Below are 27309 nucleotides of genomic sequence, written 5' to 3' on the forward strand. Positions count from 1 at the left end.
GGGGGAAGGGTACATGAGATGACTACTCAGCTGGTATTAACTGGAAATAAAATCATTTTAAATTAGAGGATGGAAAGGGGAGAAGGAAAAAGAGATTACTAGCTAATTTTAATATTGCTCACAAGAGGGAATTAAGAGGCCGTTTCAAAGAGCACGGCACTAAGGTTATTAGACAAAGGTGTAGCTCAAGGTAGGGCAGCAGGGTGGGAGCATGAGATGTGGATTTGGGGGGAGCTGCTGGAACACAGCACAGAGGCCTCACCATGCTTATGGATAATATGACTCAGTAGCCTTACTGTTAGTAGGAATATTGATATTACTATTTTGAAGCTATTTTATTAATTTACTTATTTTATTTTATTTTGAGACAGGGTCTCACTCTGTCACCCAGGCTGGAGTGCAGTGGTATGATCTTGGTTTACTGCAGCCTCGACCTCCCAGGCTCAACTGAACTCCCACCTCAGCCCCTCGAGTAGCTGGAACTATAAGCATGTGTCACCATGTCCAGCTAAATTATTTTGTATTTTTTTTTTTTGAGACAGAGTCTCGCTCTGTCGCCCAGGCTGGAGTGCAGTGGCGCGATCACAGCTCACTGCAACCTCTGCCTCCTGGGTTCATGCCATTCCCCCGCCTCAGCCTCCTGAGTAGCTGGGACTACAGGCGCCTTCCACCACACCTGGCTAATTTTTTTTTTGTATTTTTTAGTAGACACGGGGTTTCACCGTGTTAGCCAGGATGGTCTCGATCTCCTGACCTTGTGATCCACCCGCCTTGGCCTCCCAAAGAATTTTGTATTTTTTTTTGTAGAGATAGGGTTTTGCTATGTTGCCCAGGCTGGGCTCAAACTCAATCCTCAAGCAATCCTCCTGCCTTGGCCTCCCAAAATGCTAGGATTATAGGTGTGTACAACTGTGCCTGGCTAAATGTATATTTTATAAGATAAATTGATAAGTAAGTTTATATCCATGATTTTCAAGAGAAAGCAGAAACAAATGTATCATTGAAGAATTTAGATAAAATCCTATAATCTTAAATTGGAATTTGAAACATCATTATGTGTTATGATTTTTTTCCCCTCTTAAAAATCACATTTCCTAATTCTATTTACTAAAAAGACCTAGAAAGTCACAATCCAGTGGTCCAGACTGTGATCTCTAAATGCTATTTCATACTAAAAGGAACAAGGGCTCCTTGGAGAAATGATTGACTCCAGGTCTGGGCAGGAAATGAACCCGTCAAGTCTGGGACATCTTAGGAGTGTCCTCCCTGCCAGTGGGTAACAAGACTTCACCTCCCCCCAAATCTGTCAGTAAAGCCCATGTAGGGAGCCTGGACTTCCACGTCCATCTGGTGGTAAAGAAATGCCCCTCCTCCCCTCTGCTGGGGTGGTGTCAGCTGAGGTCTAGTGGGAGTCAGAACTTTTGTCATTACCCAGTGGTCCTGGGTAGTACGGCTACCCCTCTATTTTTCCATGCAGAGTCAGTGGAGTCCGTGTGGAGAGTAGTAACAAGGCACTCCTGCCCCTCCCAGCCAGGAAGGTATCAATGGAGGCCTTGCGGAGAGCCAGAAATACCACTCCTGCCCAGCAGTAATGAAGAGCTCCTCCTACTGTTTGTCAAAGAAGGCCAAGGAGGGAACCTAGACTATTACCTGCATCTGGCAGTAAGAAGGCAGTGCCCCCTTCTCCTTGCCCAAGTCATTTCAGAAAAGGCCAGTTAAAACAAAATTTAAATAAGGTCCAGAGTCTCATAACATAATACCAAAAACGCCCAGGTTTTAACTAAAAATCCTTCATCATAGTAACAACCAGGAAAACTTCAGCTTGAATGACAAAAGAAAATGAATAGATATCAACTTCAAGGTAATAGTGATATTAGTTATCTTTCAAAGATTCTAAAGCAGCCATCATTGTAATGCTTTAGTGAACAATTATGAACATACTTGAAGCAAATAAAAAAAAGAAAGTCTTAGCAAAGAAACACAAGATATAAAAAAGAACCAAATGAAAATTTTAGAACGTAAAAATATAGTTACCAAAATAAAAACTCAATATGTGGGCAGAATGAAATGGATGGAGAAGAAAATCAGCAAACTTGAAGATAAAATAATAGAAATTACTTACTCTGGATAACAGAGAAAATAGACTTAAAAAAAAGAAAAGAGCCTCAAAGAACTGTAAAACTGTAACAAAACAAAATATGAGTGTCATTTGAGCCCTGGAAGGAGAGTAGAAAGAGCATGAGGCTGAAAAAGGTACTTGAATAATGCCTGAAAAATTTCCAAGTTGGAAAGAAGATAAAGATCAACAGATTCAAGAAACTCAGCAAATCCCAAAATCAATAAACCAAAGAAATTTATGCCAAGACACATTATAGTCAAACTTCTGTAAACTAAGACACAGAAAAATTCCTGAAAGCAGTGAGAGAGAGATGAAATCTTCCCTACAGAGGAAAAAAAATAATTCAAATGACATTGGATTTCTCATTAGACCATGGAGGCCAGAAGAAAGTGGCATATATTTCAAGGGATGAAAGAACTGTCAGCTCAGAATTCTATATCCAGTGAGCAAATCCTTCAAGGATGAGAGGGGAAGTCAAGGCATTCTCAGATGAAGGAAAACTAAGAAATTTCTATCAGCAGGCATACCCTAACAACAGAGCTAAAGGTAGCTCTCTAAACAGAAAGTTAATAATAAAAGAAGAAATCTTGGCGTATCAGAAAAGAAGAAAGAACAGAAAGAGTAAAAAGAGAGACAAATATAATACATTTTCTCTTTCCTCTGGGGTCTTCAAATGTATGTTTGACAGTTGAAACAATAATTATAGTGCTAGCTAATATAAGAAAAATATTTAAGACAGTTATATTAAAAATCGGAAGGCTGAAGGGAGTTAAATGGAGGAAAGTTTTCTAAATACACTAGAACTGCTAAAATGTCAATACCAGTGATTGACATTTAATCATTGACAGTCAATGATTATAATGTTATGTATAGATAATGTAATACCTACAGCAATAACTAAAGGAGCTATACAAAGAGATACACCCAAAAAACACTCTGGGTAAATAAAAATGGAATTTTAAATAATGTTGAAGCAACTGATAGGAAAGTAGGAAAAAGTAAACAAAAAATTCCTGAAAGCAAAAAATTCCAAAAAACAATAAAACATGCAATGGCAGACTTAAGTCCTGAAATAGCAATAACTACACTAAATGTAAACTAAATATATCAACTAAAGTCTAAATATATCAACTAAAGTTAGAGACTGATAGCATATTTTTTAAAATGACCCAATTACATGCTGTCTACAAGTAACTCAACTTCAAATACAATGATATTGACAAGTTGCTATATACGGTTCTTTACTGTTGGAATTTTAACCATGAACATGCATTAGCTTTTCAATTAGTTGCTTAAAATGTCTAGGATTTTACTCAGGTCAAGGGAAGTAGGTCAGAAAAGGCTATAGGGAAGTAATCACTAAATTGACAAGGAAGAATTCAAGGGGAAAAAGATGGGAACGTGTAGAAAAACAGTTTGGTTTGACCTCTGCTCACCTTTTCTTCTATGAGATACTGCTGATCAAATTCTAAGGAATAAAACTCAATGGGGAAGTTGCAGGGATTCTTCACTATCACCTCGGCCTCGTCTCCAGGTGCACAAAGTAGCAGTGGCCCCAGATCCAGGACTGAAGGACTAAATTCCAGGCGTGGCTCTAGACCTTGCCCACGTGCCAGGAGGGTAAGCTTTTGAGCACTCTGGGCAATCTGAAACACCAGGGTTTGGCTGTAGAATTTCTGGAAAACATAAAAACAAAACAAGCATCTGAGTTTATTTCCATTACATGTCATGTAAAACAAAACACTGCTGAGGGGAAAAAACTTATCTATTTAGATTAAGGGAGAAAACTTATTATAAAATTGCATAAGAGTAATTTTTATTACCGAATTAACATAAGTACTGGGTATTTAGCATGCCAAGCATTGTACCAAGTGCTAGATATCAAATAAATTCTGGGTATCTAGCATTCTAGCACTTGTACCAAGTGCTTCATCGTTTGTAGCAAGCCCTCTGAGTATCACTTTCACATCCCTCAAATCTTCCAGTGTGCTCAGACTTCCAGCTGCCACTGTCTGCATCTCTGGGCCTGAAGGTTCTCATTTCATGGAACCTGCTGTCCATGGGCAGGGGAGGGCAGGGCAAAAATGCCAGGGAAATGATACCATCTGGAATTAGTTATTAAGCAATGACTCTGGGGATTTACGGTAAAAAGACCCCAGCTCCCTTGCTCCTGAGGAGTGATGATTCTGAAGTGTGTACTTTGTGTATTTTCCCAGAGTTTGGCAGAATGCCAGAGCTGGGGCATTCAGTTCATCAGATACAATTACAACCAGATACTGGTTAATAGTGATATCATAACTACTCACATGTTTTCTCAAAATGGTACCCAAATCTACATTGCATCCCATAGTTCCTAGTCTGATTTCACTGGGGAACCTATTAAACATGCAGATCCTCAGATTCCATCCCTAGAAATCCTGACTCTGTAGGGGCAGAGTAAGGCTGGGATTCAGCATTTTTAACCAGATGCCTAGGTTATTCTGGTATAGCTGGACTTGTAGCTTGGTTTGAGAGGAAATTACGCAAATCACAATCTGAAGACCTCCTATCTTAGCTTGAAGGGGAAAAAGCAAATGGATGGAATGTATACAGACATACACACAGAAATATCTATTTCTGGACACAAAAAGATAAATTACTGGCTAAGAAGGGTTTCTCTATAGTTATGGGCTTAGTACCTTATGATTCAAACTTCTGTATTTTAATTGCTCCTTATGGAAATCTTTCTAAAACATTTCATTCATTTTCTTGAACATGTTATCATGCCTAAGAATTGTTGGTGTGGATGTCACTGATTTCTTGGTGCTGCTGATGTTGATGATGATGCAGATATATGGATCGTATGGGTTGCAGGGCTAACCAATTCCTTGTATACAGCTAATAAATTTCTCTCTTAATTGGTGGAAACATTTTACTAACTTTGACCAATTCCAACTCAACATTCATGAAACTGCTTGAACAAATCTATTTTTTTTTTTTACTATATTTCCCTCATTAAGTAATGGAAAAAAAATCCACAATCTTGAGTAAACCCTTTGAAAATTTTAAGACTCTTTAAGAATGACAAACATATTACTAATTTTCTTTTAAATGGACTGGGAAGATTTTGATAATGATAAAAACATGGGTTTTATTTTAGAATGAGATAGGAAGTCATTTGCTTTTTCTCTTTCTCACTGAAGGTGCTTAAGCATTTCCTCAAAGCGATTACAAGGAAAATGGGAGTTAACCATAGCTCTTCTATAAAACACAAATCAATTTTTCTTTTAAAATAACAGAATAGAGAAAAATATATTTCCCAAGTGCCTTAGGCTTTGAATAAAAGTCTTTACAGTGCAACCTCTTGAGATTCTCTGGTTCGAGGATTTTATTAATTTTATTATGTTCCTGGTCAGAAGTAGCTTTGAGTTGATTATGTTCACAAAAGAAACATTTATGAGGCTCCGGGAGGCCATCTACTGGGACGTACTTTTCACGACTACTGATGATAATAGTTAATAGTTATTGAGAGATTTACTTACATAGAGCAGCACACTGTGTACTTTATTCAATACTGTGCATTTAATCTTCAAAATGACCTTAGGAGGTAGTCATTACAGGTTGACAATAAGTTATCTGAAACCCAGGGGCCAGATACTTTCAAATTCAGATTTTTCAAATAGTAAACACAGTGCATATACCCTATGTTACCTAATACCCTCAGCAGGGTCTGGGGCAGGTCCCCTGTAATCAAACACATTAACAGTTGTTGGCAATGTTTGACTCTGAAAACTAAGTTGTACAAATAAAGGTTAAATGGTGTCATGTCAGTTCAGATGAGATTTTTCTGCCAAATGAGTTTTAGTGCGAAGCTTATGAAATCTCAAACCCCCCACCCCCAGTTTTGGATCTTACTGGGTTTCAGAATTTCAATAAGGACTTCTGATATGCAACATGACTATTTTTTCTTTTATCTATGAGTGAACTGAGACTGAATGAGGCTAAGTAATTTCCTCAAAGACACACAGCATGTAAGTGTGCAGAGGCAGAAGGCTACTAACCCAGGCCTTCTGATAAAAACTGATGTGTTAGTCCAATGATTCCAGACCACCAGGCCACACAGCTCCTATGTGAACCAGAAGTGCTTGAGATGCCATATTCAGAAAAGCAAGGCACAGGTCACTCGAAGCTTCCCTTGAGACCCAAACAAGCATGGACTTTGAGTAAAGCTCAAAGAGGTCCAGAGAATCTAAATGAAGCCATATTTCTTTAAAGCTCACCTCTTCTTTTGGCATGAATTTCACTTGCACGTTGGACTTCTCACCAGGATCCAAGACTCCAGAAATGGGCTGGATTTCGAAGATCCGTGTCTTTGGCTTTAATTCAGCGCGTAGTTTCTGTCTTAAGTACTTCGGCATGTGTTTCTCCAGCTGGTTTATAAATATTAGAGAATTAGATCATCTTCTATGGAAAATGAGCTCATTCACCTTCCACTCACACAACCCACATTTCCTGAGTACCTCTCAGGTGTCGGGGAATGTGTAGATACCAGAGGTGCAAAGATGAATAAGACATTCCACCCGACAGCATGGCCTGATAGGACCTCAAGCGCTGGGCTAAGGGCCCAGGTTTTATTCAGGAGGCAATGGTTGCCACTGAAAGTCTTTGAGCAGGAGATTGAAATGATGAGCGCCAAGACCTAGAGTTACAAATCTGGCTGCAATGGAGATGGAGAAAGGAGGACCAATGGGCCACAGCTCATTTACCTTGTCAACAGGCTTTTGGCTCTGGACGAACCATTCACAAGGGACTTGGAGATGATTGGAAAGCTGAATAGTTTCCACCAGGCACTGTCCACACTGAATTGTGGCAAAGTCCACTTTTCCACGAGAGAGAGTCATGGTTGGAATGGTCACCTTGGCTTGGAGACAGATGTGAACTGTTGGCCCTCCAACCACCTAGAGAGGGTATAAACTGCAGTTATCATGTGTCATGGGGTTGGGGAAAGGAAGAATCATGGCTCTGACATAATAACTGGATTATCCCAGGGGCCATCAGCAAGCAGAGCTGGAAACCTGCAGGTCCGGGTGGGCCCAGCGGTGCCTTGTACCTTGATGGGCAGAATGACTTCTTTGCTTCCAACAGGAAGATTGGCCCCCTGTGGGTCAAATCTCACTTCAAATATTTCCGTTTCACAATGAGGTAGATTCTTTACACGATCTAGCTCAGTACTGAATCCTGGACCAAGACAAAAAAAAATTTCTTCATGGAAAAGAGAAACAGCAAACAAGAGCTGCTCTAGAGAAAGCCCCCACTGGGTCAGAATGACTGCTCAGAGGATCACTGAATAGCCCAAGAATCCTTTTAGCTGATCCCAGAGGCACAAAAGCTGCTCCAGGAGGACAGTACTGATGGGTTCCTTGAGAGAAATGACCAAGTGCAATAGGAAAGGGTCTCCCCAGCCTGGGTACCTGTCTCATGAAGGACACGCTTGTCTGCATGGAATGACACTGGAAAGTGACTGGTGTTGATGATCTTGATGATGTGGGTTCGGACTTCGCCAAGGATGATGTAGCCAAAGTCCAGGATGTACTCTGGTAGCTGGATTCTGAAATGGTTAATAGACCTTACTAGTCACTTTCAAACCTGGAAGGCTACTTTTCCAAAAGTGAGTGAGTCTGATTTTTTTTTTCTACCTCCTGTGCACAGTTTTATTCTCCAGAGTGGAGAACAACAAATGGCTACCCAAATGGAGACTAGAAACAACGTTAACTCCCCCAGAGATTCACACCACTGTTTTGGCCATTATCTCAGAACATGTTCAGCATGGGCCCTTATGGACCTGAAGTGAAGCCTGTCCATTAGACATAGCTATAATGTTCTCACTCTAAGAGGCAGAAAGCTGCCCAGTTGGCTTGATGCTAGGGGATGGCGGATAAGTGAGGAGAGTGGATTTCATTGCGAGGTGATCAGCCAGTGTTTCCGGGAGTGTGCTGCACGAGGCAGCACTGCTTGCTCTGCTACACTCTGAAACAAGCACAGCACAGAAAGGCAGTCACTGGAAACCACTCACTTGGCCAGTTTGCGGCGACTCCGATGGCTGAAGCAGGGGTCATCCATAGGATCAGGGGTGGTTGTTTTCTGATGTTCTAGGACATAGCTTTGGACTATAAGTCTTTCTACCTCCATCTGGAGATGAGCACTTACCTGAAGCAAGAAGGAAGAGCAAGTCAGCAAATTCTTTAGGAACATGCATTCTCAACAGGGACAATACCACCCCTAAAGAGGCAAAAATTAGTTCTTGGAGGGTGGTGGAAAATATCTTAAATATTACAATGGTTTGCGGCCCCCAAAGAGCCACAGAACATAAACAGATACATGGTATGTTTAAAGCATTACATTTTTCCTGGGAAGGGCGTGGGAAGGGTAAGCAAATCGGTATATCCACACCATGGAATACTCAGCAGTAAAAGGGAATGAATTATTGAGGTGCATAACTTGAATGGATTACAAGGGCATTATGTGGAATGAAAAAAGCCAATCTCAAAAGGCGATGTGCTGTATGATTCCATTTATATAACATTCTTGAAATAACAAAAGGCTCAAGATGGAGAACAGATGAGTGGCTGCCAGAGGTAAGGGACAGGGAGAGAGGGGTGGATGTGGTTATAACCTGGGCACATGTAAGGCCAAACACAAATGGAAAATGAGGCTTAGTTCTCCTTGTTGAAAATAAGGGAAGAGACTTCTCTTCCTCCCCTTAGAGTATTTAGTTTAGAACATTTGTAATTTTAAGTTCTTTGAAATGTTATCGCTTTGAAATGTAGATAAATCTTTTTAAAAGTGAAATAAGCCTCTTGCCAGCTTTAGGAGCCAGAAGTGTCTTTCTCAAGGACCTGGGAACCATCTCTTTGACACGTAATCAACAAGAAAGGTGAAGTCCCTACTCCCAGTTTCTGTGAGAGGATGGGAGCCTAGCTTCCATGGGGCCCTGCTAGAAAGACAAGTTTGTTTTTCCTTTGGATAAAGCCAATTAGCTAACACAGTTGGTCACCTCAATTACCATGTCGATTTAGGATAAACTATGTGTGACAAATGATGGTGTCAAGTCCTCTTACTTGAGACTAGCTATTTTTTACTCTGAGAACAGGAATGAAAAGGCTTGGATCTGGTTGGCTCTATAGGAGGGGCAGACTTCCTTCTGTCTTTGCAATCTCTCAGCAGATTGCCTGTGATGGGCATCACATTCTGGTTTAATACTTATTCAATAATAAAATTGTTTTCTTTCTCTTCTACCTTTGTGGATAGATTTTCTGGGTTGGAGGGAGATTTTGTTTTTAATTTTATTTCCTCAAGAAGCACGAGGAATCTTGGTGGTAATGGAATAGTTCTGGATCTTAATTGCGGTGGTGGGTTCACAAATCTACATGTGATAAAATTGCACAGAACTACACCACACACATACACACATGCATGTAAAAGTGGTGAAATCTGAATAAGCTCTGTGGCTTGTACAAATGTCAATTTCATGGATTTGATGTTGTACTATAGTTATACGAGACGTTACTGCTGGGAAAACCCTTTTTTTTTCAATTCCCTGTAAATATATTATTTCAAAATAAAAAGTTAAAAAGTATATGTCAAACTATTCAAGGAGATTCCATTTTGTATATAATAAATAAAAATATTTCATGGGGAATATTAGGAAAAAAGGTCTAAAATGGATTTTTAGGGAGTGATAATGGAAAAGGTTGAGAAATACTATTTGAAAAGGGCTAATCCTTAAGTCTAGGCCCAGCAGGGAAGGTTAATGTGTGCCATGGCCCACAGTGAGGCACAGGAGGTGAGAGTGGAAGTGTGACAAACTGGGAGAGGAGCAGCGTCTGCTGACAGCCTTCCCAGTTGTCTGGATTCTAGAGCAGCAAAGCCAACTCTGTGCTTGGCTCCTGAGCCATGAGTGGTCCACTCTGCCCTACTCAAGGGAACCAGCTTGGCTCTGCACGTACCATCATATTCACAGAAACCCCACCCCACTGCTCTCCTAGGCTTTGATAAGGTGCAGCCTGGGAACCCAATAAGCAGGTGGAGACACATCATTGCGTCCAGTGGGCAGCCCGGGGCTGGCAGGAGAAGGCAGAGGCTAAGGGCACCATCTTAGCAGCTGGGCAGGCCTGGTTTCAAATCCTAGCTCTGTGCTTGCCTTGGGACATGCACTTCACTTCTGTAAAACTAAAATTTAGATGACAGCAGCACCATTCTCCCCCCACCCTCATTGTGGGAGGATTTAACAAGATAACAGTACAGGTTAACAGTATGGCACAGGCTTAGTATAAGAGTCCAATAAATGGTAACTGATGTTATTAATTATGATCATCCTTGGTGCTAAGGTTCACTTTTAGCATCTTGTACTTGAACCAGCCTTCTGCAAAACAAATAATCCCCGGTGGGCTTTGGTGCTTCCTGTCTCCCCCATGACACCTTTCTCCCCCACATTAGAGCCCCCTCTTAACCAACCTAAGGGCTCTCTAGCCACATATATGATTCTTCCTTAGAACAATATTCGCATGCACATTTGCATTTGGAAAGAACAGCAGCGGGGTTGGCAGCTGTCAGGGTCAGGAATAGACTTTTAAAACAGGACTTTCAGGGGTGATGAGGGAGGATATATTGGGATTTTGTCTTCCTATCCCAGCCTTTATTTACAAGCTGAGAAGCTCTCTCCTCCAGAGACCCTCGCTTGGCTCCCACCTCTGTGGCACCACATGCTCCTGACTTTTCCAGAATCTTTTGGCCACCCCTCTCCCCCACTCAGATGCTGGGGTATTTTGGGGCTACATTCTGAATCTGCCTTTTTTCCTGCTCACTAGACATACTTCCTAGGGAATCTCCCCATTTCCTGTGATTGCAATGATCATCTGATGACTCTCAAGTCACCTTCTCCAACCTCTCTCTCTCCCCGAGGTGCCCAGCAGTGGCTCCGGTTCCCTACTGGCTGCTCTACGCAGATGATGCACAGAAATCTCACATTCGGTAGCCACGGGAAACAGCTGAACTCCTTTCCCTCCCCTCCCCTCCCACCAAGACCTCGCTTCTCCTCCTGAGTTGCCTGTCTCAGTCCCCCTCCTTACCCCGTCATCCAAGCAAGACTTAGAGGTCCCCTCCACCCCATGCCCATATCCAATCAATCCCTAAGTCTTGACCATTCCACTTCTGGAATATTCCTTGAACCCACCCAGTTCGCCCTGTCCCCACTGTCATCACCATTGCTTACAGCACCACCATCTCTCACCTAGAATGACTCCATCAGCTTAAAAAAACTGTAGAGATGGAGTTTCACCATGTTGTCCAGGCTGGTCTCAAATTCCTGGCCTCAGGCCATCCTTGGCTTCCCAAAGTACTGGGATTATAGGAATGGGCCACTGCACCTGGCCCTCCGTCAGCTTCTAAAAAAACTGATCTCTCGAATCTACTCTCATCATCCCCAAGTTCCTGTCCCCTCAAAGCTCCACATGGCAGCCAGAGGGATCTCTTAAAGATGCAAAGTCGATTGGGCCACACCTCTCGTTGCCCTCAGGATGAAGTCCAAAAACCTTAATAGATCAGCCATCTGATACCTCACCTCCTGGGCTCATCTTGCCTCTCCTAGCTTCCTGATTCTTTGCCTTATCTCTGTCTTTCTCTTTTCTGTACCTCAGAGACCATGTCCTTGCCCCTGGGCTTCTGCACACAGTGCCCTTCTGCACACACACCCCACACACTGTGCACACAGTGCCCTCTGCACACAACTCCTATGCACTCTGCACGCACCACCCTCCTGCACAGGCGTCCCGTGCAGGCTGGAGCTGTCTTACCTCAGCAGGCTCGTCTTCTGGCACTTCCTCAGTTATTATGTCAAAGTGATCGAGCATTTCACATTTGTTATACTCTTTGTCTGTGTTTTTCCTGGCTTGATTCAAGAACATTTCATACTTTTCATTTGCTGTACCAGGGTGGGGAGTGGGGGTTGGAAGGAGAGCAGAATCAGGAAGGTCAGAAAAATATGAATGATGTCGCAAACACAGACCCTCAGCTCCTGGTAAGGTGGGAAGGGAAGTGGACTTTTGGATACTTTGTCTGCCCCGCTTTCCCTGCTTCAGAGGGTGAGGTGATGTGAGAGTTGAATCTGTATTAGAGACCTCACTGAGTTCAATGAGATTGTGCTTTAGTGAAGGACTGGCTAGTTCTCCAGAACTTGAAGTTAGTTACATTTGAAGACACTCATAGGGTGACCCACTTGATCCTGGCTTGCTTGGGGTTTTCTTGGTTCTAGCACTTAAACCCCTACACCCTGGAGCTCTCCCAGTGCTGGACAAACCCAGACAGCCGGTCACCCTTTAAGTCACTTTTTATGTTTATTAAATCTCAATTAACAAAAGATATGTTTGGGTCAAGTTGTTTTAATTAACACTAAATATGCCACATTATCCTGAATCAGGGAGGGTAGGTAATCGGTGGAGAGATTCCCACCCGAATTTACCACTACGCCCGTGCAAATTCAAATCCTTTGAAAGGCAAAGGTAGGAAAGTCATTTAAAATGCCTACTATAGGCCAGGTGTGGTGGCTCACGCCTGTAATCCTAGCACTTTGGGAGGTTGAGGGCGGGCAGATTGCCTGAGCTCAGGAGTTCAAGACCAGCCTGGGCAACATGACAAAACCCCGTCTCTACAAAAAATTAGCTGGGCATGGTGGTGTGTGGCTGTAATCCCAGCTACTGGGGAGCCTGAGGCATGAGAATCGCTTGAGCCCTGGAGGTGGAGGTTGCAGGGAGCTGAGACCCCGTCACTGAACTCCAGCCTGGGTGACAGAGCAAGACTCTGTATCAAACAAACAAACAAACAAACAAACAAAAAGCCTATTATAAAACAATAGGAAATGCTGTGAGTGTAGTGAACTGGAGAACAGAAGACCCAACTAATGGTGTTCAAATTTAAATTATTTTAAAGCCCTTACTGGCCAAACCATGTCTACTGCCCTGATGAGGCCAGCTGGGTGCCCAGTTTCAACCGTATAGCAAAGGTTTTCCTTCCTGAAATTATATGTAGAGCTGGAGTAACCCTCATCTGGCTGGAACTCTAGATACGAGAGTGTAACATGGTCTTAGCATTAGTGACATTTATTGCCAGGCATTGTGGCTCAACACCTGTAATCTTAGTGCTTTGGCAGGCTGAGATGGGAGGATCACTTGAGACCAGGAATGCAAGACTAGCCTGGGTAACAAAGTAAGATCCTATCATAAAAAAAAAAAAATTAAAAAATTAGCCAGGCATGGCAGTGCACATCTGTAGTCCCAGCTCCTCAAGAAGCTGAAGCGGGAGGATCCCTTGAGCCTAAGAGTTAAGATTACAGTGAGCTCTGATTGCACCACTGTATTTCAGCCTGGGTAACAGAGCGAGACCTTTTTAAAAAAGAGACAGGGTCTTGCCTATATATATATATAAATATAAATATAAATTATATATATATATATGCAAGTTTTCAGGGAGCAGACAATTAGAATTCAGTGGATGATTATGAACAGGAGAGTTAGTAACTTCAGGGAATGGGGTAACAGGAAAGGCTGGGTGGGAGGACTTAGTCTGAAGCTTTTTAGGGAAAGTAGATTTCAAGGAGCTTGAATAGAGATTCATAAAGAGTGAGAGGTTTCCCTGATCCATCGTCCTGTACCTGACGTCAGGAAGAAAGAGCCAGAGACAGTCTATGGCTAAAAGGGCTGCTCAGCTGAGGTTCGGAATCTGCCAAGACAGAAATATTCTGCTACAAAAGGATAGTCCTGGGGGCCAGATGTAACTGGGAAATGTAAGTGGGAAGACAATTATTCAAGTCTAATTTAGCCTTCACCCTGTGTAATGCCAAAATAAGGGCTCAGAATCTGTGTCCGCCTTTCTGTGCAGTTTATACTTTGAGAATTCTACTCCTGGAAGCTCATTGGCTCTTACCTTCCCAGTGGCATCTAGGAGAATGTCACAGGGAAAGGACAGCTCGGGGAAAGACTGGGGCCAGAAGGAAAGTGCATGGGGGAGGAAAAGCTTTTGGAGGTAAATTTCCTGATCCCTCTGTCAGTAATTCAATAATGGCCAAATTGGCCAGGGTTCTTCACTTGGGGCTGCCATAGACGATTTCTTGTCGCAGTAAACTCAGGTCACCAATTTGGCAATTGCAGAATAACGTGGAAGAGAACCACAGGGCATTTCCAAGCAAATAAAGTAAGTAGCCAGCAATCTTCCAATAAGCAAAGCTAAAATGCTTGTTTTGTCCCCAGTGGGGAACTACTCCAGTGTGAAGTACTACCTGTGAGGTTCCTGGGGAGATCGAGGCAGATTTGGGGAAAGATTCCCTCTCCGCTCAGAGTGATATTTTCTGGGTCCAGGTGGGCGATCTGTATCTGGAAACTCCTTTTAAAGACCTCAGGTACTCCAGGTAGGTAGTAAACTTTTAATACCTGCTCTTGATGTGAACTGATAAAGCCCTACGCGGTAGAAAGACCAGAAAAGGGAAAACGAATGTGCTACAGTACAGGTTCAACTCATTAAATTACTTAAAACAACAACAACAATGACAAAGTAAACCTAAAAAAAGAAGGAAAGGAGTAAGAGATTTAATGAAATGAGTGCAAAGAAACAGAAGAGGTTCGTAAATCCACAAACTGGTTCTTTGAAAAAAGACGAATAAAATACACAAAACTGGCAAGACTGATTAAGAAGATAAGGAGAAAAGTCACTAAAAATGTAAAAAGAAAAATGGTTCGGCCGGGCCTGGTGGCTCACGCCTGTAATCCCAGCACTTTGGGAGGCTGAGGTGGGTGGATCACGAGGTCAGGAGATCGAGACTATCCTGGCTAACACGGTAAAACCCCGTCTCTGCTAAAAATACAAAAAATTAGCCAGGCATGGTGGTGGGCACCTGTAGTCCCAGCTACTCGGGAGGCTGAGGCAGGAGAATGGCGTGAACCCGGGAGGCAGAGCTTGCAGTGAGCCGAGATCGCGCCACTGCACTCCAACCTGAGCGACAGAGCAAGACTCCGTCTCCAAAAAAAAAAAAAGAAAAAAAAAAGAAAAATCGTTCATAAATATATAGTAAAATAGTACATAAATCATATACAATTATGAGAAAACTTTATGTCAATATATTAAAACATTTTTGTGAAATTAACAATTTCCTAGAAAAATATGAATAACAAAACTCAAAAACCTTAGAGTGATCTGTATCCTATACAGAAGCTGAAAAATGAAGACAATTACCCTGACAAAGGAATATATGGCATTGGAAGCAAGTTCTGCTATTCCTTCAAAAACAGATAATCACTTCAGTTTATGACCCATTCAGGAAATAGAAGAGAGAGAAATGCCCATTTATTTATTCTGATATCCAAACTGATCAAATGCAGCATGAAGAAGGAAATTTATGAACCAACGATCACTTAACAAAGGTGCAAAAATTGTAAGTAAAATGTTAGCTGAGTGAATCCAGCAATATATATATATAATATTTAAATGCAGATGGTAGCATACAGAGTGTTTTTCGTCTTCCTTTTCTTTTCATTTTACCTAACAATATATTTTACGATTAATTCAATATTAGTACATCTAGAGCTGCTCCATCCTTTTTAGTTGCTACATATTATTCCATTACATAGTTTTAACATATTTTTAAAAACTAGTTTCCTACTGATAGACATTTAGTTTGTTTCTGGTCTTTTGCTATTGCCATTACAGATTATACAGGAAATAATCTTATAAACACATCATTTTGCAAATGTGGGAACGTGTATGTAGAATAAATTCTTAGAAATGAAATTTCTAGGTCAAAGTATAATTTTGATAGATAAGGCCAAATTATTCTCTATAGAGTTGTTATCAATTTACAATAACTGCAGCAATGTAAATTCAAATGCTTAAAAATCTTTAGAAAAAGGGCAAGGAAAACATAGCAATTATGATAAAAAGATCGAATAGAAAGAAAACACTGAGTAAATTTAAAAAATAGACAAGATACGATGAAAGAAATAATAGCAAGCATTTCAGTTTTGCTAATCATAAGAATGTGTTAAATGTTCCTATTGAAACTTAAGGACTCTCAGAGAAGATTAAAAAATAAAATCCAAATAAGTATGTTTTATGAATGATAAGCCTAAAACAAAATGAAATAAGACTATGGGCAAATTATGTAAGGCAAAAAGAAAGCAGCAATCACAATATTAAGACCAAACAAAGGGGAATTCAAAGAAGAGCATTCAAAGGGAACAAGAAGGCAATTGAAGGTAGACAGAACACACAGTCCATGATGAACACTTAATAGTCATGAGATCTTCTGTGTCAACACAGAAACGAAAGGGTATAAACAAAAAGGTGTATGTATTTGTAGAAAACAATAGAGAAATGGACAAAAGTTTTATATACCACTCTTGAGTCTTAGAAAAATTAAACAGAAAAAGATATAGAAGATTTTAATCTTATAATTATTTGGGTTAATTTAGTAGAGAATCCAGATATGATAATCTGGATTCTATAGCCCAGGTAACATTATTTTCAAACATTTATTAGTATTAAAAATTACTTTAGGTCACTAAAATATATTAATAAATTCACTAAGTAGGAATTTAGAGGGCCATATTATCTGATCGTGATTCAAAAAAACCTCAATATTGGTAACAATATAAGTAACAAAAGCAAAAATCATAATCATTTGGAAATTAAAAAAAGAAAAATATATTTTAAATTACATTTGTAAGTAAAACTATAATTTAAGACAACTTAGAAAATAATGAAAATCATAATAGTAAATATTAACATGTATAAAACACACAAAAATTGTCATCTACTTTTTTATCTGTAATTTTCTTAAAATATAAGGGGTAAGGCTAAAGGTGTCCTTAGGCAAATGAATAGTCTTACATTTTTTCATTATTAACTAAGAAAAACAATAAAAGCAGGCATTCAAGTCACAAAGTTAGAGAAACAAAACACAAGAGTGAATTTGGGCTGGGCGAGATGGGGCTCACGCCTGTAATCCCAGCACTTTGGGATGCCAAGGCAGGCAGACACCTTGAGTTCAGGAGTTCAAGACCAGCCTGGGCAACATGGCAAGACCCTGTCTCTAAAAAACAAAAAATAAATAAATAAAATAAACAATAAATACAAAAATTAGCTGGGTGTGGTGGTGCATGCCTGTGGTCCCAGCTATGTGGGAGGCTAAGGTGGGAGGATTGCTTGAGCCCAGGAGGCAGCGGTTGCAGTGAGTTGAGGTCTGCACTCCAGTCTAGGTGACAGAGCCAGACATGGTCTTAAAAAAAAAAAAAAAAAAAAAGTGAATTCAAAAGATTAGCTAAGACAAATTGGGAAAAAAAACCAAAAGGGGAGTTGACCTAACAGATATTAAGATGTATTTCTAAAGCCATAGCAGCTAAAATAGTACAGTATTAATGTAGGGACAAACAGAGCAATGAAGAATAAAGAGACCAGCAGTAAACCCAAATATGTGAGATGATTTAGGGGAAGAACAGACTTTATCATTAAAGATGATGGTGCTCATTATCTTTGGATTTACAAGATTATGAATAATTACACTTTAAAAATATTTTCCTTTTTTAATAACAATTATGTGCTATTTTCATAATGAGAAAAATTCAACAAATGTTCCTTAAAACTGGTAGATCAACATAATATGAACAAGGAACCACTTTCTCTGTTTGCTTCTGAAACCAGTTTGGCTCAGCGCAGTCTGCTAGTGTTTTCACACCTGCTGAAGTCAGTGGAGAGGAAGCCCTCGGGAATTACAAGGGCAGCGTGAAGACATCGGTGGAAATAAATTAGTCTCATTATCATGGAAAAAAAATCCATGGGTTGCATCTGTCTTGTTGATTGCTGTATCCCTGGTGCCTGGAAACTGGTTACTGTGGGACTAAATAAATATTTGTTTAATAAATGAGCGAAGTGGCTTGGATTTATTTTTTTTTTCTGCTTCCGAGAGTTCTTTAGTTTTAACAAAAAGAAAAAATCACACTTGTAATCCTGGTCGTGAATACTCACCTGCTTCGGAGTGGGGCTCGTAGGTTTGAATTCGGGCCCCTCCCACCATTTACTTACAGACACAGGCAGGATTAGTGGCACTCCAGGGAGAAGGTTGTCTGGAGAAGACTGGTGGTCAGTCAGAACCTTGAACTCAAAGCCAACTTTCCCCATGTTCGTCAGCGTGATTTCCCTCTCTGTGACATGGTCAAACAGCTTGAGAAGAGAAGGAGAAGAGTGACTCCATCTTGGGATGCGGCTTTGATAGTGACAAAGGTGCAGAAACATGCCTCATGGATAAGGGTGTGACAGCTCCTGATATAAATACTGGTCAATCTACATCTCAGCATCACAACAAATGCCTACTGGGGCACTAGACTCTGGAAACCTGGCTCTTAGTTCTTCTAAGAACCGATTCAGTTTAGGTATGGCTGTGGGGCTGAGCATTTCACCTTCCTGGGTCTCAGTTTTTTCACTACAGGAACTTGTAATAGAGAATCTTAAAGTAAGCTTTCTACATTAAAAAGATTTGCCTAGTATTCCATGGTGTATATGTGCCACATTTTCTTAATCCAGTCTATCATTGTTGGACATTTGGGTTGGTTCCAAGTCTTTGCTATTGTGAATAGTGAGAAAGTAAGCTCGTAAGGCCCCAGCGAGATGCAGCCATAAAAAATGATGAGTTCATGTCTTTGTGGGGACATGGATGAAGCTGGAAACCATCATTCTCAGCAAACTATCGCAAGGACAAAAAAACCAAACACCGCATGTTCTCACTCATAGGTGGGAATTGAACAATGAGAACACTTGGACACAGGAAGGGGAACATCACACACCAGGGCCTGTTGTGGGGTCGGGGGGAGGGGGGAGGGATAGCATTAGGCGATATACCTAATGTAAATGACAAGTTAATGGGTGCAGCACACCAACATGGCACATGTATACATATGCAACAAACCTGCACGTTGTGCACATATACCCTAGAACTTAAAGTATAATAAAAAGAATTAAAATAAATAAATTAAAAAAAAAAAGATTTGCCTTCTGGATTCTGTCCTGTAAGAAAAACAAAAGATTTGAGTTTAGAATGTTCTAGAATGAACTTTTCCATTCAAATGGAGAACCATGGGTGTAACAGGCCAGTCATGTTCTTTTTCCTGGAATTTTGCTAACATAATTCACCAGCTGGGTTAGCAGGCCCAATAACCACAAACAGGCCACTTTGGGGGTCCTTAGGAAAAGCTAGGGTGAGGTCTGACTGCTTCAAAGACTATACTCAGACATGAGCCGAAACCAAGTGCCCAAAGGACCCTGGAGACGACGAAGGCAAGAGAATTCTATTTGGTCAGCATCATGGAGATGGTCTCAGTAGGTGCTGGGTGAATCAGATTTTAGGCACAATCTTTGATCTATAAACACACATGCATGCACACAATTCAGTAATGATACATGCAGGAGCTATGTAATGGAGATTCAATCCTCATGGAAATTTGGTAGGAGATATGGTCTCCGAGTGCATAACACAAAATCTGATTGGGAAGAGAATGTGTACTGATGGAATTAATTGACAATTATTCCAAAACAAAAATGGGAAAGTATATTATATTATGGCAAAGACTATCATTAAGTGCCAAGGGAATGTAAAGTAAAAGATAACCCTAGAAGGAGCTGAGCTGGGTCTTATAGGATGTAAAGGTTTGGGTTTGGCAGAGTGGAGGATGAGAGGGATAAGGTAAGACAAAGTGTAGCTGCATGAAGCGCTGGGGTGCACTGGGGCCGGTGGGTAGACCAGCTTGGCCACAGTGAAATGTATGGACTACAAGAGGGAATTATGGGAAGTGAAACTTCCAGTGTAAAGATCACCAGTTAATAGAGAGGCTTAGGATAGCCTCACCCAGGTGAGGAATGGGCTCTGACCCAAAGGAACTCATGACAATTGACAGCCAACTCTGACCCAGCACAGCACTGACCAGATAGATGCTTTAAGCAATGACAACTCCTGGTGGGATGGGCTTGCTACTCCGTTCCCACCTTATAGATGAGGGACACTGAGGCTTGGAGAGGTGATGTGCCCAAGGTCATGCAGTCGGGAGGAAGTAAAACTGGAATAGGAAGAGGAAGTAAAACCGGAATACAAAGAGGAAGTAAAACCGGAATACGAAACCACGCTCTTTGGTCAATATCACATTGCTTTGCCAAATGCTGCTGGGATTAATTGGTCAGGGACTGACAGGATGACAACACCATTTTGGAAAATGTCGCTGGACTTACTGAATCAGAATCTGCACTTGAACAAAACTCCCAGGTGATTCATAGGCACATTACAGTGTGGGAGGAACTGCTGTAATAATTTAGGCATGGCTTGATGAGACCCTGTAATGTGATATCAGTGGCAATGGGAAGAGAAAACTGACTCAGAGAGGGACGCTGGTGATGAGTCAGCAAACCCTGGAGGCTTAGAAGGATGTGGAGAGGTGAAGGAGAGAGTGCAGCGGAAAAGCCTTGGAGATTGTGAACCCAAGGGTGGAGAAAATGGTAATGCTATTGAAAGAAATGCAGAAGTTGGAACAGGCTCCTGGATTGAAAGGGAAGAAGTGACCTTGAGCATCTAACATGCTGAGTTTCAGGAGACGATAAGAAAAGCAAGTGTAAGTATCTGGCAAACAGTTGGCAGCAGGAGGATGGTCAGGGTTAGGGAGGCTGATGGGAGATCAAGGACGGGGTGATGGCGAGACTATGATGATTGGGGTTCAGGAGAGATTTGTTTAAGATGCTTAAGACAAAACCAGAAAATCTCTACCCGATGGTTTGTGATACCTGTAATCCGTAGTGAATATCCTTGGTGTCAAAGGAATAGTTGACCAGGGACGCCTCTCCCTTCAGTGTTATTTCGTAGGTGGGTCCTTCTTCCACTTCACACAGAGCTTTAGCTTGTGCAATGATGTTAGCGTGTCCATAGAAGGTGAACGATATTTGGTGGCTACTGTGTGGCTGCAACACTCCAAACAGGGGCAAAATATCAAACACCTGCAGAGAAAGTCATTCTGTAAGAGAGCAGCTGTTGGGATGAATGCCTGCCAAGGATAAGTGAAAGTTATGTCAATTTACACATTAATTCCAGTCTTTAACTCATTTGATAGAAGGTAGCCCAGCACCCTGAAAACACATAATGGTAATGATGGTAACAGTGCTCTGGTGAGATTTAAGTTTCTAATGTGGGGCAGCTGCTCAGTTAGAAAGTAAAGTTAGTGTCTGATAAGGTCAGGAATCACACGGTGTCACTTACTTCTTCTATCCCAATGGAAAGCATCTCATTCTGTTCACAGGTCTGTAGGGATTCCTGATCCTCCACCTGGCTCTGGCTTGAGTATATTCTTTCTATTTCAGTAGAGCTAATTTTTATTTCCTAGAAATTAAAGATGTGAGGAAAAGCTGGCAAGCATTCAAAATGGATCATCAATTGACAGAAAAATAAAGTATGTTGTATATGATTATAAAAATAGTACATTTTTTCCCAGGAAGATAATTGAGCAAGTGACTATAATGTACATACGAGGATGTTTACTGCAGCATTATTTATAACAGCAAAACTTTGGAAGCCAACTCAGTGCCCATCAATAGGGGGTCACTTTAAATGAAGTGTGTGTGGTACACCTATCCATGAAGGATAATGCATGTATATTTATGGATAGGGATGATGTGCACAACATATTATTGAGTGAAAAGCAGTTCTATTCATGTAAAATTACATATGCCTCATGTGTCTGAAGGTGTGTGTGTGTAAATTCCTTCAGAGATTTGCATTGGCAAATAGAAATATCTGGGAGGTTGTTTGCTAAGAATTTCGTAGCATTTTTCTCAGTGGGGTAGAAAGAAGATGGGAATTTTGAGGATGTTTGCTTTAATTTTTCTGTATTCTTGAGTTTATATGTACACACATGTACATATATATGTACATATATATTTTATTTTTGAGACAAGATGTCTGTCTCTGTCACCCAGGCTGGAATGCAGTGGCATGATCAGAGCTCACTGCAGCCTTGAATGCCTGGGCTCAAGTGACCTTCCCACCTCAGCCTCCCTAAAGTAGCCAGGACTGCAGGCGTGCACCACCACACCCTGGAGTCTCGTTATGTTGCCCAGGCTGGTCTTGAACTCGTGGCCTCAAGCCATCCTCCTGCCTTGGCTCCCAAAGTACTGGGGTTACAGGCGTGAACCACTGTTTCTGGCCTATTCTTGAGTTTTCTATGACACGCATCTTTGAAAACAGAAAAAGAAGAATTAATATTTAAAAGACAAATATTTTATATACTCACACATACTCATTCTAAAAAATTTTTAAAATATAGAAAGCTCCAAGGAAAGAAATAAAAGTCCATCTCAGGTTATACTGTAGATAAATATTATTATATATATGTGTGTATATATAGTGTATTATGTGTGCATACATATTTGTATTCTGATTTTTCAGTTGACCTAATATGAGTGCCATCTTCCCATATGACTGAATATTCTTCACAAACATCACTTAAAGTATTTTAGAAAGTTGATTGTACATGATACAAATTTAAAATATTCAAAAGGATATATGGTAAAAAGATAAAAAAAGACTTCTATCCCTACAGTTCTCCGGTTCTCCCCTCCTGAGGTACCCACTGTCCAGTTTCCTATATGTTGAATTTAGTTATTCCTCTTAATTCAGCTGATATTTACTGGGGACTTACTAAGAACCAGTTCTATATCCTGAGGATATGACGATGAACAAAACAGAAAAAAAATTCCTGCCCTCATGAAGATTAAATTCCAGAGATATTCCACGCACAAGCAAAGATATCTATGTAACTGTTTGAGAGATAACACAGTAGCTAAGAGCAAGCAAGATGGTCGAGTCTTCCAGCTCCACTGCTTGATGGACGTGTCCCTGCATTGGTAAAATGGGGAAAGATAGTGGTATCCACCTCACAGAGGTGTTGGGAAAAGTAAAAGAGTTAATGTAAAAAATTGCTTAGCTGGGGGCGATGTCTCATGGCTGTAATCCCAGGACTTTGGGAGGCTGAGGCAGGTGGATTGCCTGAGCTCAGATGTTCAAGACCACCCCGGGCAACATGGTGAAACCCTGTCTCTACTGAAATACAAAAATTAGCCGGGCATGATGGCAAGTGCCTGTAATCCCAGCTATTTGGGAGGCTGAAGCACGAGAATTGCTTGAACCCAGGAGGTGGAGGTTGCAGTGGGTCAAGATGGTACCACTTCACTCTGGCCTGGGCAACAGAGTGAGACTCTGCCTCAAAAAAAAAAAAAAAAAAAAAAAAAAAAAAAAAAAAAGCTTAGGTCAGTGCTCAGTTAAGTGTTGGTTGCTTTCATAGACTTTTTTCTTTATACAAATGGTAGCACACAGTGTACTTTGTTTTGCACTGGGTATTTTTTCTTAATATATCAAAGATTGTGCCAAATTAGTATGTAGAGAACTTTCTCATTTTTAAAAAAGAATTTCATAGTATTGCCTTGTGCAGATGTAATTTAGTTTATTCAGACGGTCTCCTATTGGTGGAATTAAGTTGTTTCCAATATTTCTTGCTTTTACAAACAAAGCTGCAGTGTACAAGGATGGTTACATGCTTTATGCAAGTGCAGAGGTGTATCTGGAGGATAATTTCTAGAAGGGGGACAATGCATTTTAAATTTTGATCTACTTGCAAAGTTGTATGTTATAGAGGTTATGCCAATTCATACTCCTACCCACACTGTAGGAAAATCCCACTCAACACTATTTTAAAAGATTGCATCACATCATGGACATACAGCAATTTATCTTTCATTTTGTTTTTCATTTTTTGCTGTTTCTAAAATGTTGTAACAAGCATCTTTGTATGCACATCTTTGTATCTCCAATAGTTTACTTAGGCCGTCATTCTAGAAGGAGAATTTAAGGGTATTAATTTTTAAGCCCCCTTTGTTTTTGCTACAGAATTATTAAGAAAATATTTTTCCTTTAGTATCCTCTATCTAGGGTGTAGGAACATCACAAGTGTAGGCTCTCACTGAGTGTTGGCTCTGGGGTGTTTGGCTGGGAAGAAATGTGGGTAAAGCTGTACGGCTTTGTCCCAATTAAACCCAAGCATTGTACTGGCCACTCTGCTCCTGATTCTGCCTTTGTTTTATGGGAAGGACCCTTGACCTGCCTACCCTCCCCATGGAAAGGACACCGTACATCTGAGATCACACTGGAAGCTTTCGTTTTTCTTAGTTCTTTTTCTTCAGGCCTGGCATCTTCATCCACAAGGACAGTCCTAGGAAGTTTAATGAAATGCAGAGATTCACTCATTGGGCTGTCATCGCCACACAGTCTCAGGTGCATAACAGCCCTGTCTTCCTCTTCTCCCTCTACCACACCCCCAAACGTAAGGGGGATTCTCAATCAAGGGACACCTTTCTCAAGAGGTCAGCTGGTCAGGGCCCTGTTGCCCTATGCCCCCAAACATGTGGTCTAGGCCACTGAACTGGTCAATTTTTCACGGGGCTCAACCCTTTTTTACTGGCCCACCAAGCCCATGTTCAACTTACAAAAAGTCCTAGGAAGCTCCAGCAATTCTTCAGACAATGTGGGTGTTCTATGTGCTCAATGTTGTTTCCCTATTTATTGGAGCATTTTATTGTGAGGACATAATGTTTGGTGAATTGATATATCCTTTCCTGCTTGCTACCCTGGACCCAATCCTGACTGTAGACCTTGGACATACAGAGAGGACAATATGATAGGAAGGGCTCAGTCCCCCAGGACTCATGATGGTACCCTCTCCCTATCCCAGATGTCTAGTCTGGGGCCTACACATAGAAGACATTTATTAAACTGTTGACTGGGTACTGGATGAATGAACCAATGAGGGATGAGTATTGAGAATGTAAGTCCGTGTAAAGAAAAGAAAAGCTACTACAAATAATCTATGTTGGCTTTGCACTTACTTAACAAAATCATTTAAATCCATCTCGGGGGACTCTACTGTAACTAGGATTGCTGGTGGGCTGGCAGCCTCTGAGGTTGCTGGGATGGACTCCATCTGGGACACTGGGGCACTGTAGGGCTTCTTCGGCAATGTCACAAACCTACCAAAGCATGGGACAGGGAATAGGGGGAGACAGGAGACATCAGTTTTTGCAAATCAGTGTTCAGTGGGCTCTCAGTTTCTAAGGCCAAACTCCAAATCCTAGACCAGGCAGATCTAGTAGGGACCACCCTACACCCTCCCTTGAACTTGCCTTCTTCAAATCTCAGCTAAAATTTCACTTGCTCTTAAAAAGTTTTCTGACTACCAGTCTAGGCCCAACTTCTTTCCTCTGAGTGTCCATAGCCCCCTGGGCTTCCCCTTTCACACTTATTTTTACCATCCCTGTTAGATGTGGACTCGCTGAGGACTGGTATCCAATATGGTGTCTAATCCAGTGCCTGGCCTGGAATAAGTAGTCGGCATGGTCATGAATGAATGAGCCACTGGGGATCCTGCTCCCAGTTCACCAGAAAGCAGGGCTAAGACTCAGCTGAGGCCTGGGAAGCACTCTCTGTTAGGGGCCTGGAAGTGCAGGCTCGGGTTTCTTACATGACCTTGCCTCCTACAATGTGACCTCAGTGCCTTGCTTGCCACACCCTAGTCCTGGTCCCACCAATGAGCTGTGCTGCCACTCAAGTTCTCTGAGCAGAGGAACCCAGGGGAAAAGCAACTGTACCGGCTGGTGCTGAAGCCCATATGTCCAGGTTCCACTGATTAAAAAGGCCTTTGGATGTCACAAAGGCCAAGGTTGTGGGGTCACCCCCATTCTTCCTGTTTCCCCTTGGTGCATGGCTTCTTCTGGACCCCTCTCTGACCCTCCCCAACCTATCTCAAGCCCTTGATGTTAATTTCAATCTATTTCACTTATATACTCATTCTGGCCCCATCTGTACTCAGAGGCTCAGCACAAATGTCATCTATTATGTGAAGCTCCCACCACTGGCCTATCTTCCCACCGGAAGAAATTCTCCCTCCCTTGGAAGCTTCAGAGCATTTCATCTGCACTTCTTTTAGGACACTGTCCACTCTAACCATGTCCTAGAGTATCATTTCCTAAATTTCAGGGATCCTAGAGTATCATTTCCTAAATTTCAGGGATCCCACTACCATCTTCGTGATTTGTAAGCACACAGTTTGATGAGTTGTATACACATCTGTGGAACTATCACCACATTAATAAACAGAATGTTTCCATCATCCTAAAAAGTTGCTTTGTGCAAACACTCATCTGCTTAATATCACTAGAGATTAATTTGCCCACACTTTCATAGAAATGAAATTGGAAACATGTACAAATTTGTGTCTGACTTCCTCTGTTTGGCATGATGTTTTTGAGATTTGTCCATGTTTTTGCATGGAGCAATGATTCTGTTCTTTCTTTGGAGCAGTATTCCATAGTGTGGATGTTTTCCCATCTTTTTGTTGATGGACACCTTTACTATTTCTAGCTTTTAGATACTATGAATCAAGTTGCTATGAACATCTGTGTACAAGTCTTTTTGTAGACATATGTTTTCATTCTTCTTGGGTAAATTCCTTGGAAGCGAATTGCTGGGTTGTATGGTATATGTATATTTAACATTACAAGAAACTGCCAACCAGTTTTCCAAAATTGTTGTACCACTTTACACTACCACCTGCATTGTATGAGAGTTCTCGTTGGTCTGCATTCTCATCCACACTTGGTATTTAGTCTTTTACATTTTAGCCATTCAAATGAGCATACGGTGATATCACATTGTGGTATTCATTAATAGGCTTAGTTTAAAGGAAAATTCTATGTCATTTACTATATAATATAGTAAATGATATAGTCTATGTCTATTTCATTTACTATAAATGAAAACACAGGATTATCTAGCATATTTAGAAAAATCAACACAATGGAAAAAAATCAATGTAATTATTTTCTTGCCTGGTGAAGGCTCTGAGCTGAGCTCTGGTTGCTCTTTTAAGAAGGGAAAACACTGGGCTGGCATGATCTTGGCTGGGCTTATTACTGTATGGAAGGAGGATCCACGGTGTCCCCTCTTTACATACCCTATTGCACAGGGTCTTATACATGCAGCCCAAGCTCAACAGATGTTTGGTTGATTGAATGAATGGATGGATGCATGGATG

General features: G+C 41.2%; 1 protein-coding gene across 1 annotated transcript in view, besides 2 other annotated features; it reads right to left on the reverse strand.

Annotated features, from left to right (window-relative positions):
• HYDIN (HYDIN axonemal central pair apparatus protein) overlaps positions 1 to 27309 on the reverse strand; it is a 428639-nt gene that overhangs the window by 164881 nt on the left and 236449 nt on the right. Inside the window, exons 24-36 of the mRNA NM_001270974.2 lie at positions 25106 to 25246; positions 24354 to 24432; positions 21429 to 21548; positions 20960 to 21169; positions 18221 to 18358; positions 14427 to 14604; positions 11950 to 12077; positions 8172 to 8305; positions 7570 to 7706; positions 7209 to 7336; positions 6865 to 7056; positions 6379 to 6528; positions 3556 to 3795 (exon numbers count right to left, since the gene is read on the reverse strand). Of these exons, the coding sequence (NP_001257903.1) occupies positions 3556 to 3795; positions 6379 to 6528; positions 6865 to 7056; positions 7209 to 7336; positions 7570 to 7706; positions 8172 to 8305; positions 11950 to 12077; positions 14427 to 14604; positions 18221 to 18358; positions 20960 to 21169; positions 21429 to 21548; positions 24354 to 24432; positions 25106 to 25246 (1975 nt within the window). The remainder of the gene's footprint in view (positions 1 to 3555; positions 3796 to 6378; positions 6529 to 6864; positions 7057 to 7208; positions 7337 to 7569; positions 7707 to 8171; positions 8306 to 11949; positions 12078 to 14426; positions 14605 to 18220; positions 18359 to 20959; positions 21170 to 21428; positions 21549 to 24353; positions 24433 to 25105; positions 25247 to 27309) is intronic.
• Positions 20132 to 21331: an enhancer, noted in NCBI's record as "CDK7 strongly-dependent group 2 enhancer chr16:71020999-71022198 (GRCh37/hg19 assembly coordinates)". NCBI's record gives its function as "activates an origin of replication core promoter dependent on BRD2, BRD4, P300/CBP, MED14 and CDK7 cofactors, with strong dependence on CDK7, by STARR-seq in HCT116 cells {active_cell/tissue: HCT116}" and the evidence as "EXISTENCE:reporter gene assay evidence [ECO:0000049][PMID:35650434]".
• Positions 20382 to 20676: an enhancer, noted in NCBI's record as "tiled region #8903; K562 Activating DNase unmatched - State 5:Enh". NCBI's record gives its function as "activates a minimal TATA promoter and a strong SV40 promoter by Sharpr-MPRA in K562 cells {active_cell/tissue: K562}" and the evidence as "EXISTENCE:reporter gene assay evidence [ECO:0000049][PMID:27701403]".

The sequence above is a fragment of the Homo sapiens genome, chromosome 16, assembly GCF_000001405.40.
Source record: "Homo sapiens chromosome 16, GRCh38.p14 Primary Assembly".
NCBI lineage: Eukaryota > Metazoa > Chordata > Mammalia > Primates > Hominidae > Homo > Homo sapiens.